A 16,916-nucleotide genomic window follows, 5' to 3' on the forward strand; every position below is an offset into this window, starting at 1 on the left:
CACGAGATCTGATGGTTCTATAAGGGGCTTTTCCCCCTTTGTTCAGCACTTCTTCCTGCCACCAGGTGAAGAAGGATGTGTTTGCCTCCCCTTCCACTATGATTGTAAGTTTCTTGAGGCCTCCCCAGCCCTGTGCAACTGTGAGTTGATTAAACCTCTTTCGTTTATAAATTACCCAGTCCTGGGCAGCCCTTTATAGCAGCATGAGAACAGACTAATACAAGGACCAAGATGACTTTTTATTTATTTATATTTTATTTTATTTATTTTATTATTTTATTAATTTATTTTTTACTTTATTTATTTTATGGTGCTAGCATAATTGAGTATACAACTAGAAGAAAATAAAGCTAGTTCCTATGGCAGACACCGCTAGTTGCCTAACCAATTTTCATTCAGAATCTTGATTTTGTTTAGGGCAGCAAGGTGCCCAGACAAATCTATTTACCACCTAGACTCTCTTGAAAATAAGAGTGGCCATGTCCCACTCAGTGAGACATAATTAGAAGTCTAATGGGTAGAGCTTCCAGGAAAGCTATTGTTTTCTTGATAAAAAGAAAAGAAGGGTGTCCTTCACCCTATATTCTTCCTGCCCATAACGTGTAAATGTGACCCTTTTAGTACAGAAACTGGCTTGCCTGAAAAAGAAAATAATAGGCTGGGCGTGGTGGCTCATGCCTGTAATCTCAGCACTTTGGGAGGCCGAGGTGGGCAGATTACTTGAGGTCAGGAATTCGAGACCAGCCTGACCAACATGGCAAAACCCCCTCTCTACTAAAAATACAAAATTTAGCCGGGCGAGGTACAGGCACTTGTAATCCCAGCTATTCGGGAGGTTGAAGCAGGAGAATCACTTGAACCCGGGAGGCAGAGGTTGCAGTGAGCCGAGATCACACCACTGGACTCCAGCCTGGGCAACAGAGCAAGGCTCCATCTTAAAAAAAAAAAAAAAGAAAAAGAAAAAGAAGAATCCCTGAATTGTGGAACCGAAAGGGAGATGATGCCTGGATCTTTGATGGCATGGTAGAGCCACCACACCTGTCCTGATCTTTTACTTCTATTCTTCTTGTTACATGAAAAAACAAAGCAAAAAAAAAAGCCCTATTTGATTTTTTTTTTTTTTTGAGACAGACTTTCACTCTTGTTGCCCAGGCTGGAGTACAATGGCATGATCTCCACTCACTGCAACCTCCGCCTCCTGGGTTCAAGTGATTCTCCTGTCTCAGCCTCCCAAGTAGCTGGGATTACAGGCATGCAACACCACGCCTGGCTAATTTTGTATTTTTAGTAGAGATGGGGTTTCTCTATGTTGGTCAGGCTGGTCTCGAACCCCCGACCTCAGGTGATCCACCCACCTCGGCCTCCCAAAGTGCTGGGATTACAGGCATGAGCCACCTCGCCCAGCCCCTATTTGATTAAGGCATTGTAGTAGAGATTCTATTATATAGAGCTGATTGCAAATTTGGGGCAATCAGCCACTATGTCATATAATGTAAGATAATATAACTTGAAATGCATTAGATATCTAAGTATAAAATAATAAAAATAAAAGTGAGGAGGTGTGTATGAAGAGAACTCGATTAAGAGGAATCATAAAGTGACTATATGAAAGTTAAGTTTTTTCCATCGTGAAAGTGTAAATGAAATTAAGAAAAAAACAATAGATTGGGAAAATATTTGTAACACATATGAATGAAAGCCTGTAACATATAAATAGTTTCTACAAATTAATTAGAAAGAAACTAATGACAAATAGAAAAATGGACAAAGGCTACAAATAGGCAAATTGCAGAAGAGGAAATTCAAATAGTTAATAAACATATAAAAAGATACTGCTCAGCCTCATTCAGGAAAAAGCAAATTAAAACAAAAAAGAGATGCCACTTTTCAATAACTGGCAAAAATTATAAAGAGTAACCATATCTGCGCCAGGCACGGTGGCTCATGCCTGTAATCTCAGCACTTTGGGAGGCCAAGGGAGGCAGACAACTTTGAGCTCAGGAGTTCGAGACCAGCCTGGACAACATGGTGAACCCCATCTCTACAAGAATTACAAAAATGGGCTGGCCATGGTGGCTCATGCCTGTGGTCCCAGCTACTTGGGAGGCTGAGGCTGGAGGATCACTTGAGCCAGGAAGTGGATGTTGCAGTGAGCTGAGATCATGCCACTGCATTCCAGCCTGGGTAACAGAGCGAAAGAAACCCTGTCTCAAACAAACAAATAAAAAGAGTAATCATACCTTATACTGAAAGCATAAACAAAGGACACTCATACATGCTGGTGGGAATATAAATTGCTACAGCCAATTTGGAAAATAACATTTGAGCTAGCAGTGTGTTTGGGAAATCTATCCTACAGAAATAAAAGCATCAATATGTAACCAAGTAGCTCAGCTTCAAAATGCATTTTGAAACTTTTTTCCTTTCTTACATTTAGCCTTGAAACATACTTTGAAATTATTTGTTGGCTGGGCCTGGTGGCTCATGCCTGTAACCCCAGCACTTTGGTAGGCTGAGGCAGGTGGATCACTTGAGGCCAGGAGTTCAAGAGCTGGCCAACATGGTGAAACCCCATTTCTACTAAAGATACAAAAATTACCCAGGCGTGGTGGTGCAAGCCTGTAATCCCAGCTACTCAGGAGGCTGAGGCAGGAGAATCGCTTGAACCCGGGAGGCGGAGTTTGCAGTAAGCAGAGATCATGCTACTACACTCCAGCCTGGGCAACAGAGTGAGACTCTGTCTCGAAAATAAATAAATAAATAAATAAATAAAGCTCTTTGTTTCTCTCCCTTCCCACCAGATACTCTTGTGCACAGTGCTCACTTATCTAATTATGCACTTATTTAGAAATTCCAGGGGCTAATTTTGAAACACATCAGGCATGAAGACCCAACTGCTAAATTCCAGAGATTACCTCAAAGCAGTTAATCTACAACCTGGCCATTGTTGAGATGACAGCAGCCCATGCAGGTGGACCGTGACTCAAGATAGCCCTGGAACAAGACACACAGGCCTCGTACCCAGCACCACTCCCCCACGGCTCCCATTCCAAGTTCCTTTATTTATTTATTTATTTATTTATTGAGACAGAGTCTTGCTCTGTCACCCAGGCTGGAGTGCAGTGGCCCGATCTCGGCTCCCTGCAACCTCCACCTCCCAGGTTCAAGTGATTCTCCTGCCTCAGCCTCCCAAGTAGCTGGGATTACAGGTGTCCACCACCAGGCCCAGTTAATTGTCTTGTATTTTTAGTAGACGGGGTATCACCATGTTGGCCAGGCTGGTTTTGAACTGCTGACATCAAGTGATCTGCCTGCCTCGGCCTCCCAAAGTGCTGGGATTACAGGCGTGAGCCACAGTGCCCAGCCAAGTTCCCCTAAATTCCTGGGCTTACAGGCTTGAGCCACTGTGCCGGGCCATATTATGTAATTTTTAAAGCCAGTGTTATTGTCCTCATCTGTTAGTTCAGAGCAGCGAGGTCCAATGGAAATATAATGTGAGCCATACGTGTAGTTTACAATTTTTAGCAGTCACATTAAAAATAGTAAAAGGAAACAGGGGCTCACATCCCAGATAAACACCCAGGTCTTTTTAAAAACTCAGGCTTGGCTGGGTGTAGTGGCTCATGTCTGTAATTCCAGCATTTTGGGAGACTGAGGCAGGCAGATCATGAGGTCAGGAGTTTGAGACCAGCCAGCCTGGCCAACATGGGGAAACCCCATCTCTACTAAAAATACAAAAATTAGCCAGGTGTGGTGGCACGTGCCTGTAATCCTAGCTACTGGGGATGCTGAGGCAGGAGAATCACTTGAACCCAGGAGGCGGAAGTTGCAATGAGCTGAGATCGCACCACTGCACTCCAGCCTGGGTGACAGAGTGAGACTCCATCTCAAAAAAGAAAAAAAATTCAGGCATGCTAATGAGGGCTTGTAGTTCCGACTATTTGGGAGTCTGAAGAGGAGGATCATTTGAGCCTAGGAGTTCCAGCCTGTAGCATGCCATGATTGTGCCTGTGAATACTGTGAATAGCTACTACATTCCAGCCTGGGCAACATAGTTTTTTGTTTTTTGTTTTTTTTTTAAAGAGACAGGGTCTTGCTCTGTTGCCCAGGCTGCAGTACAGTGAATGGCACGATGATAGCTCACTGGACCTTGAACTCCTGGGCTCCAGCAATCCATAACACTCAGTTTGTTTGTTTGTTTGTTTAGACAGAGTTTCACTCATGTTGCCCAGGCTGGAGTGCAATGGTGCAATCTTGGCTCACTGCAACCTCCGCCTCCTGGGTTCAAGCGATTCTCCTGCCTCAGCTTCTGGAGCAGCTGGGATTACAGGCACGTGCCACCATGCCTGGCGAATTATTGTATTTTTAGTAGAGACGGGGTTTCACCATGTTGGTCAGGCTGGTCTCGAACTCCTGACCTCAGGTGATCTACCCTCCTCGGCCTCCCAAAGTGCTGGGATTACAGGCGTGAGCCACTGCACCTGGCCAACACTCACTTTAAAAAATACCTCAGCCTCCCCAGCAGCTGGGACTACAGGCATGTGCCACCATGCCCAGCTAAAATTAATTTAATAACATGCTTTATTTAACCCAATATACCCCTAAATATTACCACTGCAACATGTGATCAATTAAAAAATTACTGGTGAGATATTTTACATTCTCTTTTACATTCTAAGTCTTAGAAATCTGATGTGTATTTTACATTTACAGCATAATTCAATCCAGATTAGCCACATTTCAAGATTTTGTTTTATGGTTTTGTTTGTTTGTTGTTTTTTAAGACAGGGTCTCACTCTATCACCCAGGCTGGAGTGTTGTGGTGCCATCATGGCTCACTGCAGCCTTGATATTCCCAGGCTCAGATGATCCTGCCGCCTCACCCTTCCAAGTAGCTGGAACTACAGGTGCATGCCACCACACTTGGCTAATTTTAAAATTTTTTGCAGAGATGGGGTCTGGCTATGTTGCCCAACCTGATCTTGAACTCCTGGGCTTAAGTGATCCTCCTGCCTCAGCCTCCCAAAGTGCTGAGATAATAGCCATGAGCCACCACGCCCAGCCTCAAGTTTTCAATAGCTACCTGTGGCTAGCGGCTGCTGCACTGGATGACACTAGTCTAGTCTAGGGAAGAGTCCATGATACATCGACATTACAGATGCAAACGTATGATTTCCCCCCTTCCTTTTTTTTTTTTTTTTTTTTTTGAGACTGAGTCTCGCTCTGTCACCCAGGCTGGAGTGCAGTGGCGCGATCTCGGCTCACTGTAACATCTTCCTCCCACCTTCAAGCAATTCTCCTGCCTCAGCCTCCCGAGTAGCTGGGATTACAGGCAACTGCCACCACACCCGGCTAATTTATGTATTTTTAGTAGACGAGATTCCACCATGTTGGCCAGGCTGGTCTCTTAACTCCTGGCCTCAAGTGATCTGCCTGCCTTGGCCTCCCAAAGTGCTGGGATTACAGGCATGAGCCACCGCGCCCGACCTGATCAATCTCTTAAAGAGAATCCAGCTTTATTACTGCCAGTACATGACCAAACTGCTTCTATATTTGCCCTGGGAAAAATGGACAAAGGGAAATACTGTTAATTAATGAACAAAAACTTTGCAGAAAATTAGCCAGTGTTTAATTTTCCAAAACTTCCCTCTGTTCAGTAGATACCAGCTACTGATGACTACATATACTAGGTAAAGTTTAAAATTAGGAAATGCTGATTTCTCACATTATGAATTTCTAAATCCTGTGAAGAAAAGCTTAAAGAGCTTCTGAATATACAGAAGTTCCATTTAAGGACTAGGTCCTCCTTGTAGATGCATCAAAATATTACAAATTCCAAACTGAGACTTAATTCTCAAATGTGTTTTACTTGTTCTAAAACAATCTGTCCACAAATATAAAAATATAAGTAATAAATTGTTATTTTCCTACTGTGAGAATCTTTAGTGTGAAAAAGTATCCTATAAAAGAATTTTTTTAAAAATAAATTATATAATAAAAAATATGTACAAAATGGGTTACAGAGGACAGTTTGTATACACATAGATAAAGATATGGAAGGTAACAACATAACTGTTAACAGGCCAGGCACGGTGGCTCACGCCTATAATCCCAGCACTTTGGGAGGCAAGGTGGGTGGATTGCTTGAGGTCAGGAGTTTGAGACCAGCCTAGCCAACACTGCGAAATCCTGTCTCTACAAAAAAATACAAAAAAAAAAAATCAGCCGGGCATGGTAGCATACGCCTATAGTCCCAGCTACTTGGGAGGCTGAAGTACAAGAACCTCTTGAACCCAGGAGGCGGAGGCTGCAGTGAACCAAGACCGTGCCACTGCATTCTAGCTTGGGTGACAGAGTGAGACCCTGTCCCCTCCCCCCTCCCAAAAAGTGTTCACAGTAGTTACTACTGAAAAATGGGATTTAGGATGAACAAGATAATTTTACATTTTTAAAAATTCCCTACTAATTTGAATATTTTTATAATAAACACGTATAACTTAAGAATAAAAGTAAAAGAGATCATATTCAGATAGAGTCTGAGTTTTCATTAAACTGTTTAATACATGAGTTCAATATTTGTCTAAAAAAGCAATCTCTAAAATTATGCATCATAAGGTTGGATGCGGTGGCTCATGCCATAATGAAGTGGGAGGGAGAGACATATAGGAGCAGAGCGTTTGTATATTATTGAAACTAAATTGATATTATTCAAACTAGGTTGAACTAGCTACCGCGCCTGGCTGTGTTTCTCTATTTCTGCAAAAACCACTGTTGAGGACAGGCGGTGGCTCATGCCTGTAATCCCAATGCTTTGGGAGGTCGAGGCGGGTGGATCATCTGAGGTCAGGAGTTTGAGACCAGCCTGGCCACTTAATGGGAAAGGACAGTCTCTTCAATAAATGGTGCTAGAAAAATGAATATTCTCATGCAAAAAAAAAGCAAAAACATCACATAGTTTTCACTATATACAAAAACTAACTCAAAATGGAGCAAAGACCTAAATGTGAGAGCTAAAACTATAAAAATCTTAGAGAAAAAGGAAGGGGAAATACTTCATGACACTGGATTTGGCAATGATTTCTTGAATATGACACCAAAATAAAAAACTCGATATGGTAACAAAAGAAAAAAACTTGAAAAACTGGATTTCATCAAAATTTAAAACTTTTTTGCATCAAAGGATACTATCAAGAGTGAAAAGACGGCAGGCGCAGTGGCTCACGCCTGTAATCCCAGTACTTTGGGAGGCCGAGGCAGGTGGATCACCCGAGGTCGGGAGTTCAAGACCAGCCTGGCCAACATGGTGAAACCCTGTCTCTACTAAAAATACAAAATTAGCCAGGCATGGTGGCACATGCCTGTAATCCGAGCTACTCAGGAGGCTGAGGCAGGAGAATTGCTTGAACCCAGGAGGCAGAGGTTGTGGTGAGCCGAGATCACGCCATTGCACTCCAGCCTGGACTTCAAGAGCAAAACTCCATCTCAAAAAATAATAATAATAAAAGAGTGAAAAGACAAACCATAAAATGGGGGAAAATATTAGCACAGCATATATCTGATAAAGGATTAATATCCAAAATATATAAAGAACTCCTATAACTCAACAACAAAATAACCGCCTAATTTAAAAATAGACCTTTCTGGGCTGGGTGCAGTGGCTCACGCCTGTAATCCCACCACTTTGGAAGGCTGAGGTGGGTGGATCATCTGAGGTCAGGAGTTTGAGACCAGCCTGGCCAACATGGTGAAACCCCGTCTCTATTAAAAATACAAAAATTAGCTGGGCATGGTGGTGCATGCCTGTAATCCCAGCTACTCAGGAGGGTGAGGCAGGAGAATCGCTTGAACCCAGGAGGCGGAGGTTGCTAGGAGCCGAGATTGTGCCACTGCAGTCCTGTCTGGGCGACAGAGCAAGACTTCAATTCAAAAAAAAAAAACCTTTCTTCAAAGAAGACGTACAAAAGGCCAATAGCACATGAAAAGATGCTCAATGTCACTAGCTATTAGGGAAATACAAAGCAAAACCATAATGAGATACTACACTTCACACCCATGAGGATGCCTATTATAAAAAGAAAAAGGTTGGGCGTGGTGGCTCACACCTGTAGTCCTAGCATTTTGGGAGGCCGAGGCAAGAGGATTGCTTAAGCCCAGGAGTTTGAGACCAGCTTGGGCAATACAGTGAGACCCCATCTCTCATATATATATATATATATATATATATATATTTTTTTTTTTTTTAAATAAAAAGGAAAGTGGCTGGGCGTGATAGCTCACGCCTGTAATCCCAGCACTTTGGGAGGCCAAGGTGGGTGGATCATGAGGTCAGGAGATTGAGACCATCCTGGCTAACACATGAAACCCCATCTCTACTAAAAATACAAAAAATTAGCCGGGCGTAGTGGCAGGTGCCTGTAGTTCCAGCTACCCGGGAGGCTGAGGCAGGAGAATGGCTTGAACCTGGCAGGCGGAGCTTGCAGTGAGCCGAGATTGTGCCACTGCACTCCAGCCTGGGCAACAGAGCGAGACTCCATCTCAAAAAAAAAAAAAAACAATAAAAAGGAAAGTAATAGGTATCAGTGAGGATGTAGAGAAACTGGAATCCTTGTGCAGTGGTCGTAGGAATGTAAAACAGTGTAGCTGCTAAGGAAAACCATATGGTGGTTCCTCAAAAAGTTAGGGTTTTTTTTTCAAGACAGTCTCACTCTGTCATTGAGGCTGGAGTGTAGTGACACAATCATAGCTCACCACAGCCTCAAAAATCCCTGAGCTCAAGCAATCCTTCTGCCTTAGCACCTCAAATAGCTGGGACTACAGGCATGCACCACCATGCCCGGATGATTTTTTAAATTTTTTATAGAGATGGGATCTTACTCTGCTGCCCAGAAACAATCCTCCCACTTCGGCCTCCAAAAGTGCTGGATTATGGGTATGAGCCACCACCCAGCCCCTCAAAAAGTTAAACATAGAGTTATCATGTGATCCAACAACTTCAGTTCTGAGTATATGCCCAAATGAATTGAAAGCATGAGCTCAAACAGATACTTGTACACCAACAATCACAGGAGCATTATGCCACAATAAAAGGTGGAAACAACCTGAATGTCCATCACTAGATGAATGGATAAACAAAATGTGTTGTATATACATACAATGAAATATTATTCAGCCTTAATAAGGAGACATATGTGGCTGGGCACGGTGGCTCACACCTGTAATCCCCGTACTTACGGAGGCCGAGGCAGGCGATCACCTGAGGTCAGGAGTTCGAGACCAGCCTGGCCAACATGGTGAACCCCGTCTCTACTAAAAATACAAAAATTAGCAAGGTTTGATGGTGGGCGTCTGTAATCCCAGCTACTTGGGAGGCTGAGGCTGGAGAATCGCTTGAACCCAGGAGGCAAAGGTTGCAGTGACTGGAGATCGAGCCATTACACTCCAGCCTGGGTGACAAGAGTGAAACTCCATCTCAAAAAAAAAAAAGATAAAAAAAATAAAAATAAAATTAAGGAGACACATGCTACAATATATATGAACATTGAAGACATCATGCTAAGTGAACTAAGCCAATCACAAAAGGTCAAAAACTGTAAGATTCCACTTATGTGAGGTACCTAGATGCCTTCATCTGTTCAGGATGCTATAACAAAAATATCATAAACCAGGTGGCTTATAAACAACATTTATTTCTCACAGTTCTAGAGGCTGGGAAGTCCAAGATCAAGACACTGGCAAATTTGGTGTCTGGTGAGAGCCTGTTCCTCATAGATGTTGACTTCTTGCTGTGTCATCAGTGGGTGGAAGGGGTGCACAAGCTCCCTCAGGTCTCTCTTTTTTTTTTTTTTTTGAGACGAAGTCTCGCTCTGTCGCCAGGCTGGAGTGCAGTGGCGCGATCTCGGCTCACTGCAACCTCCACCTCCTGGGTTCAAGCAATTCTCTTGCCTCAGCCTCCCAAGTAACTGGGACTACAGGTGCATGCCACCACGCCCAGCTAATTTTTGTATTTTTAGTAGAGACGGGGTTTCACCATGTTGGCCAGGATGGTCTCGATCTCTTGACCTCGTGATCTGCCTGCCTCAGCCTCCCAAAGTGCTGGGATTATAGGCGTGAACCACCACACCCGGATCCCCAGGTCTCTTTTATAAGGGCACTATTCCCATTCATGAGGGCTCCACTCTCATGACCTCATCACCTCCCAGGGGTCCCCCCACAGCCTATACCATCACCTTGGGGGTTAGGATTTCGACAAATGAATTTTCAGGAGACACTAACATTCAGACCATAGCATCAGGATGGGTAAATTCAGAGAGAAATAAAGTAGAATGGAGGTTACCAGGTGATAAGGGAAGAGGGCAATGGGGAATTACTGCTTAATGGGTATAAAATTCCTGTCTGAGATGAACAAAATCTGGAAATGGATAGTGGTAAGAATTGTACAACATTGTGAATGTACTTAATGCCACTGAATTATATACTTCAAAATGATTAAAATGGTAAATTGTATATTATGTGTATTTTACCATAAATATATAAAAGCTATTATTAATCTTATGATTTTTAAAATAAATGATTGTCTTAGATTTTTCTAAAATATCTATTTGTTTAAAAAAAAATGCAGGAATACAAAATGGCAAGAAAACTGTACCAACACTTTGGGAGGCTGAGGTGAGAGGACTGCTTGAGGCCAGAGTTTGAGACCAGCCTGGGCAACATAGCAAGACCCTGTCTCTACAAAAAATTTAAAAATTAGCCAGGTATGGTGGCATGTACTAAGTCCCAGCTACTTTGGAGGCTGAAGTGGGAGGATCACTTGAGCCTGGGAGGTCAAGGCAGCAGTGAGCCGTGATCGAGCCACTGTACTCTAGCCTGAGTGACAGCACAAGAGCCTGTCTCAAAAACCAAAAACAAGGCCAGGTGCAGTGGCTCATGCCTGTAATCCCAGCACTTTGGGAGGCTGAGGCAGGTGAATCACCTGAAGTCAGGAGTTCGAGACCAGCTTGACCAATATGGTGAAATGCCATCTCTACTAAAAATACAAAAATTAGCTGGGCGTCATGGCGTGCACCTGTAGTCTCAGCTACTCCGGGGACTGAGAAGGGAGAATTCCTTGAATCCGGGAGGTGGAGGATGCAGTGAGCGGAGATCACACCACTGCACTCTAGCCAGGGTGACAGAGCAAGACTCCATCTCAAAAAACAAAAACAAAAACAAAAACAAAAATGACAAGAACTAACCAAAACCCAAAAGAAACAAATAAGACAAGAGAAAATGGACCTATTGAAGACACAGATTTTGAAGTTATCAGACACAGGTTTTAAAATAACTGTGATTAGTATGTTCAAGAAATTAGATGACAAAATGGAGAATTTTACCAGAGATCTGGACACACTAAAAAAAAAAAAAAAAAAAAAAAACAACAATGAAAATTCTAAAAGCAAAAAACAGAAAATAAATAAATAAATATAAAATTAAGAACTCGATAAGTAGGTTAACAGCAGATTAGCTACAACTGAAAAGAGGACAGGAAGATAGCTCATAGAATATCCAGACTAAAGCTGGAGGGGTAAGAAAAAGGTTGGAAAAATATAGAAAAGAGCTGAAGACACATTTGGCACACAGTGAAAGATCTAACATATGTGTATTCAGAACTACACAAGGAGACAAGAAAGTGGAGCAGAAGCAACATCTGAAGAGATGAGTTCTGACTGAGAATTTTCCAACACTGACAAAAAAAGCACCTAAAGATTTAAGAAGCAATATGAACCCAGAGCAGGATAAAAGACACACACATGGCCCAGTGTGGTGGCACATGCCTATAATCCCAGCATTTTGGGAGTCTGAGGTGGAAGGATTGCTTGAAGCCAGGGATTCAAGACCAGCCTGGGCAACAAGGCCAGACCCTGTCTCTACAAAAAAAAACTAAAAAAAAAATAAAAATTTAAGAAGACAGATACCCATAGATAAATCATAGTAAATTGCTGAATACTAAAAAGAAAGAAAAAAAATCTTTTTTTTTTTTTTTTCTGAGACGGAGTTTTGCTCTGTTGTCGTGGCTTGAGTGCAGCTGCACGATCTCGGCTCAAAGCAACCTCTGACTCCTGGGTTCAAGCGATTCTCCTGCCTCAGCCCCTCCCGAGTAGCTGAGATTACATGCATGCACCACCACACCTGGCTAATTTTTTTTTTGTATTTTTAGTAGAGACAGGGTTTCACCACATTGGCCAGGCTGGTTTCGAACTCCTGACCTTGTGATCCACCGGTCTTGGCCTCCCAAAGCGCTGAGATTACAAGCGAGAGCCACCACACCCAGCCTGAGAGAAAATCTTCAAAGCACACAAAGTCAGCTGGGCACGGTGGCTCACACCTGTAATTCCAGCACTTTGGGAGGCCAAGGTGGGCAGATCACAAGGTCAGGAGTTCAAGACCAGCCTGGCCAATATGGTGAAACCCTGTCTCTACTAAAAATACAAAAATTAGCTGGGCGTGGTGGCAGGCACCTGTAGTTCCAGCTACTCAAGAGGCTGAGGCAGCAGAATCGTTTCAAACTGGGAGGCGGAGGTTGCAGTGAGTCGAGATTGCGCTACTGCACTCCAGCCTGGCAACAGAGCGAGACTCTGTCTCAAAAAAAAAAGATAAATAAAAGCACACAAAGTAAAAATAAACTTTAACAAAATGAAAAAAAAAAGTTAATTTCTCAACAGAAACAATAGTAACGCTGAGGAGGGCGGATCACCTGAGGTCAGGAGTTTGAGACCAGCCTAGCCAACATGGCAAAACCCCATCTCTACTAAAAATACAAAAATTAGGCCGGGCGTGTTGGCTCACGCCTGTAATCCCAGCACTTTGGGAGGCCGAGGTGGGCGGATCACTTGAGGTCAGGAGTTCAAGACCAGCCTGGCCAACATGGTGAAATCTGTCTCTATTAAAAATACAGAAAATAGTCAGGTGTGGTGGTGCGTGCCTGTAATCCCAGTTACTTGGGAGGTTAAGGCAGGAGAATTGCTTGAATCTGGGAGGCAGAGGTTGCAGTGAGCCAAGATCACGTCACTGCACTCCAGCCTGGGCAACAGAGCAAGAGTCTATCTCAAAACAAACAAACAAACAAACAAAAAAACAATGTTTTGAGAAATAAAACAAGGCTGAGCATAGTGGCTCACATCTGTAATCTCAGCACTTTGGGAGGCTGAGGTAGGCAGATCACCTGAGGTCAGGAGTTTTAGACTACCTGGCCAACATGGTAAAAACCCATCTGTACTAAACATACAAAAATTAGCTGGGTGTGGTGGCATGCAGTTACTTGGGAGGCTAAGGCAGGAGAATTGCTTGAACCCAGGAGGCACAGGCTGCACCACTGCACTCCAGCCTGGATGACAGAGCTAGACTCCATCTCAAAAAGGGGAAAAAAAAAATGACTGGCTTGCATAGCCTGGGCAACATGGTGAAATCCCATCTCTACAAAAAATATGAAAACTAGCAGGGTGTGGTGGTATACCCCTAGAGGTTCCAGCTACTCAAGGGGCTGAGATGGGAGGATCGCTTGAGCCCCGGAGCTGAGGCTGCAATGAGCTGTGATTGCACCACTGCCCTCCAGCCTGGGCAACAGAACAAGACCGTCTCAAAACAAAAAACAAAAACAAGAACAGCCTGGGCAACATCGCGACATCCCATCTCTATTCAAAATAAATAATTTTTTTTTAAAGAAATAAAAGTAAAATGAAATAATTAATGGATTTTAGACTACAGGTTTTGGGTCCCACCTGAAGCCTAGCCACAGCAGCCACAGATCAAAGAATGCCAGCAACAGTCCACGGCTAGTACTTAAGATATTCCAGCCTCCTAATGTTGGTTCTTCATCTTCCTAGCAGCCCTAACTTGGATGAATCAAGAAAAAGCTGGGTGGCCAGGTATGGTGGCTCATGCCTATAATTTCTTCACTTTGGGAGGCCAAGGCAGGAGGATTGCTTGAGCCCAGGAATTTGAGACCAGTCTAGGCAACACAGCAAAACCTTGTCTCTACAAAAAAAAGTTTATTTTAATTAGCTGGGTGTGGTGGCAGATGCTGGTGGTCCCAGCTCTACTTGACGGACTAAGTAGATTCCTTGAGAGAACCACTTGGGTCCAGGAGGTCAAGGCTGCAGTGAGCCATGATCATGCCACTGCATTCCAGACTGTGCAACAGTGAGACTCCATCTCAAAAAAAAAAAAGGGGGCCGGGCATGGTGGCTCACGCCTGTAATCCTAGCACTTTGGGAGGCCGAGGCGGGCAGATTGCCTGAGGTCAGGAGTTCGGGACCAGTCTGGCCAACATGATGAAACCCCGTCTCTACTAAAAATACAAAAAAATTAGCTGGATGTGGTGGCGTGCACCTGTAATCCCAGCTACTTGGGAGGCTGAGGCAGGGGAGTTGCTTGAACCAGGGAGGTGGAGGTTGCGGAGAGCCAAGATTGAGCCATTGCACTCCAGCCTGGGCGACAGAGCGAGACTCCATCTCAAAATAAAAAATAAAAAAAAAAAATAAAAGTGGAGGGAGAGCTGGAAATTTTCACAAGAAATATATTCAAAATAACCAAGGAAAGGGAAATGAAGATACATAAGACAAACACACAAAAAAGATCAGGATGAATTCAGGGATCAGATGGGGTGAAAAAGGCAGCTATTCTGGCACAAGGTCCCAACACTTGCAGGTGGAACTGAGACAGACCAAATGGTAGAAATTCCCAGAAGCAGAGAGGGGAGTGAAAGACAGCTTCAGTCACTAATTACTTCCAATATAGGAAGTTCTCTCACTCTAGATCTCTTACCTGAAGGCAGAAAACAAATTTGTGCAAAACAAAAACAAACAAACAAAAAACTGTGCCTAAAATAATAGCTAACTGCTGAGAACAGAATGGGTAAAGGTAGGGAGTTCACTTACTTATTTAGACAAAGGTGAGCTTCAATAAAGATATCCTTAGCTTTTTCAGGGAAGTCCTTTATTTTAAAGTTGGCATCATAGTCTTTTATCCTCCGGATTCTGTAAAATTAAGCCTGAGTATTACTTCTAAAGGTCTTACAATTCCATAATTCACAGCCTACACTGACCTCCATTCATGTCCATCCACTTACTCAATAATTGTTTAGCTTTTTTTTTTTTTTCTTTTTTTTGAGTCTCGCTCTGTCACCCAGGCTGGAGTGCAGTGGCATGATCTCGGCTCACTGCAAGCTCTGCCTCCCAGGTTCACGCCATTCTCCTGCCTCAGCCTCCTGAGTAGCTGGTACTACAGGCGCCCGCGACCACACGCGGCTAAATTTTTGTATTTTTAGTAGAGACGGGGTTTCACCGTGTTAGCCAGGATGGTCTCGATCTCCTGACCTCAGGATCCACCCGCCTCGGCCTCCCAAAGTCCTGGGATTACAGGCGTGAGCTACCACGCCCGGCCAATAATTGATTTTTTAATGTGTCAAGTCCTGGAAATTCAACCTTCTCCCTCTTAAATTAAGCACTCTAAAGAAAGACTAAGACTTCTCTCATAGTGAAATTTCAGAATTCTAGAATCAAAGATAACATCTTATATGCACTAAAAACAGAAAAAACGGGTTTCATACAAATGCTCAAGAGTCAAAATAGGCCAGGTGCGGTGGCTCATGTCTGTAATCCCAGCACTTTGGGAGGCCGAGGCAGGTAGATCACTTGAGGTCAGGAGTTTGAGACCAGCCTAGCCAACAGGGTGAAACCCCATCTCTACTAAAAATCCAAAAATAAGCTGGGCATGGTGGTACGCACCTGTAATCCCAGCTACTCCGGAGGCTGAGGCACAAGAATCGCTTGAACCCAGGAGGCGGAGGTTGCAGTGAGCAGAGATCGCACCACCACATTCCAGCCTGGGTCACAGAGTGAGACTCCATCTCAAAAAAAAAAAAGCTGGGCATGGTGGTGCTGTCTGTAATCCCAGCTACTTGGGAGGCTGAGGCAGGAGAATACTTGAACTTAGGAGGCAGAGGTAGTGATCGCGCCACTGCACTCCAGCCTGGGAAACAGAGCGAGACTCCATCTCAAAAAAAAGAGTCAGAATAACACTGGGCTTCTTTTTTTTTTTTTTTTTTTTTTTGAGACAGAGTCTCGCACTCCGTCGCACAGGCTGGAGTACAGTGGCGCAATCTCGGCTCACTGCAACCTCTGCCTCCTGGGTTCAAGCAATTCTCCTGCCTCAGCCTCCCGAGTAGCTGGGACTACAGGCACACATCACCCCGCCCGCCTAATTTTTGTATTTTTAGTAGAGATGGGGTTTCACCATGCTGACCAGGCTGGTCTCGAACTCCTGACCTTGTGATCTGCCTGCCTCGGCCTCCCAAAGTGCTGGGATTACAGGCCTGAGCCATGGCACCTGGCAACACTGGGCTTCCTAACAGCAACATTAGAAGTTACAAAGACAGGCCGGGTGCAGTGGCTCACGCCTGTAATCCCAGCACTTTGGGAGGCCGAAGCAGGCAGATCATGAGGTCAGGAGCTCGAGACCATCCTGGCCAACATGGTGAAACCCCGTCTCCACTAAAATACAAAAAATTAGCCAAGCGTGATGGCACATGCCTGTAGTTCCAGCTACTCGGGAGACTGAGGCAGAAGAATCACTTGAACCCAGGAGGCAGAGGTTGCAGTGAGCTGAGATCCTGCCACTGCACTCCAGCCTGGGTGACAGAGCGAGACTTCGTCTCAAAAAAAAAAAGAAGTTACGGCCGGGCGCAGTGACTCAGGTCTGTAATCCCAGCACTTTGGGAGGCCAAGGTGGGCGGATCACAAGGTCAGGAGTTCGAGACCGGCCTGGCCAATATGGTGAAACCCTGTCTTTACTAAAAATACAAAAATTAGCTGGGCGTGGTGGCGGGCGCCCGTAGTCCCAGCTACTCAGGAGACTGAGGCAGGAGAATTGTTTGAACC

General features: G+C 44.2%; 1 pseudogene across 1 annotated transcript in view, besides 1 other annotated feature; it reads right to left on the reverse strand.

The window, feature by feature from the left end:
* Positions 1-16,916, reverse strand: part of MRPL45P2 (mitochondrial ribosomal protein L45 pseudogene 2) — a 42,394-nt pseudogene that overhangs the window by 17,850 nt on the left and 7,628 nt on the right. Inside the window, exon 4 of the transcript NR_033934.1 lies at positions 14,916-15,014. The product of NR_033934.1 is annotated as a mitochondrial ribosomal protein L45 pseudogene 2 (transcript). The remainder of the gene's footprint in view (positions 1-14,915; positions 15,015-16,916) is intronic.
* Positions 9,654-9,854: a silencer, noted in NCBI's record as "peak2874 fragment used in MPRA reporter construct". NCBI's record gives its function as "represses an SCP1 promoter by STARR-seq MPRAs in K562 erythroleukemia cells {active_cell/tissue: K562}" and the evidence as "EXISTENCE:reporter gene assay evidence [ECO:0000049][PMID:32103011]".

The sequence above is a fragment of the Homo sapiens genome, chromosome 17, assembly GCF_000001405.40.
Source record: "Homo sapiens chromosome 17, GRCh38.p14 Primary Assembly".
NCBI lineage: Eukaryota > Metazoa > Chordata > Mammalia > Primates > Hominidae > Homo > Homo sapiens.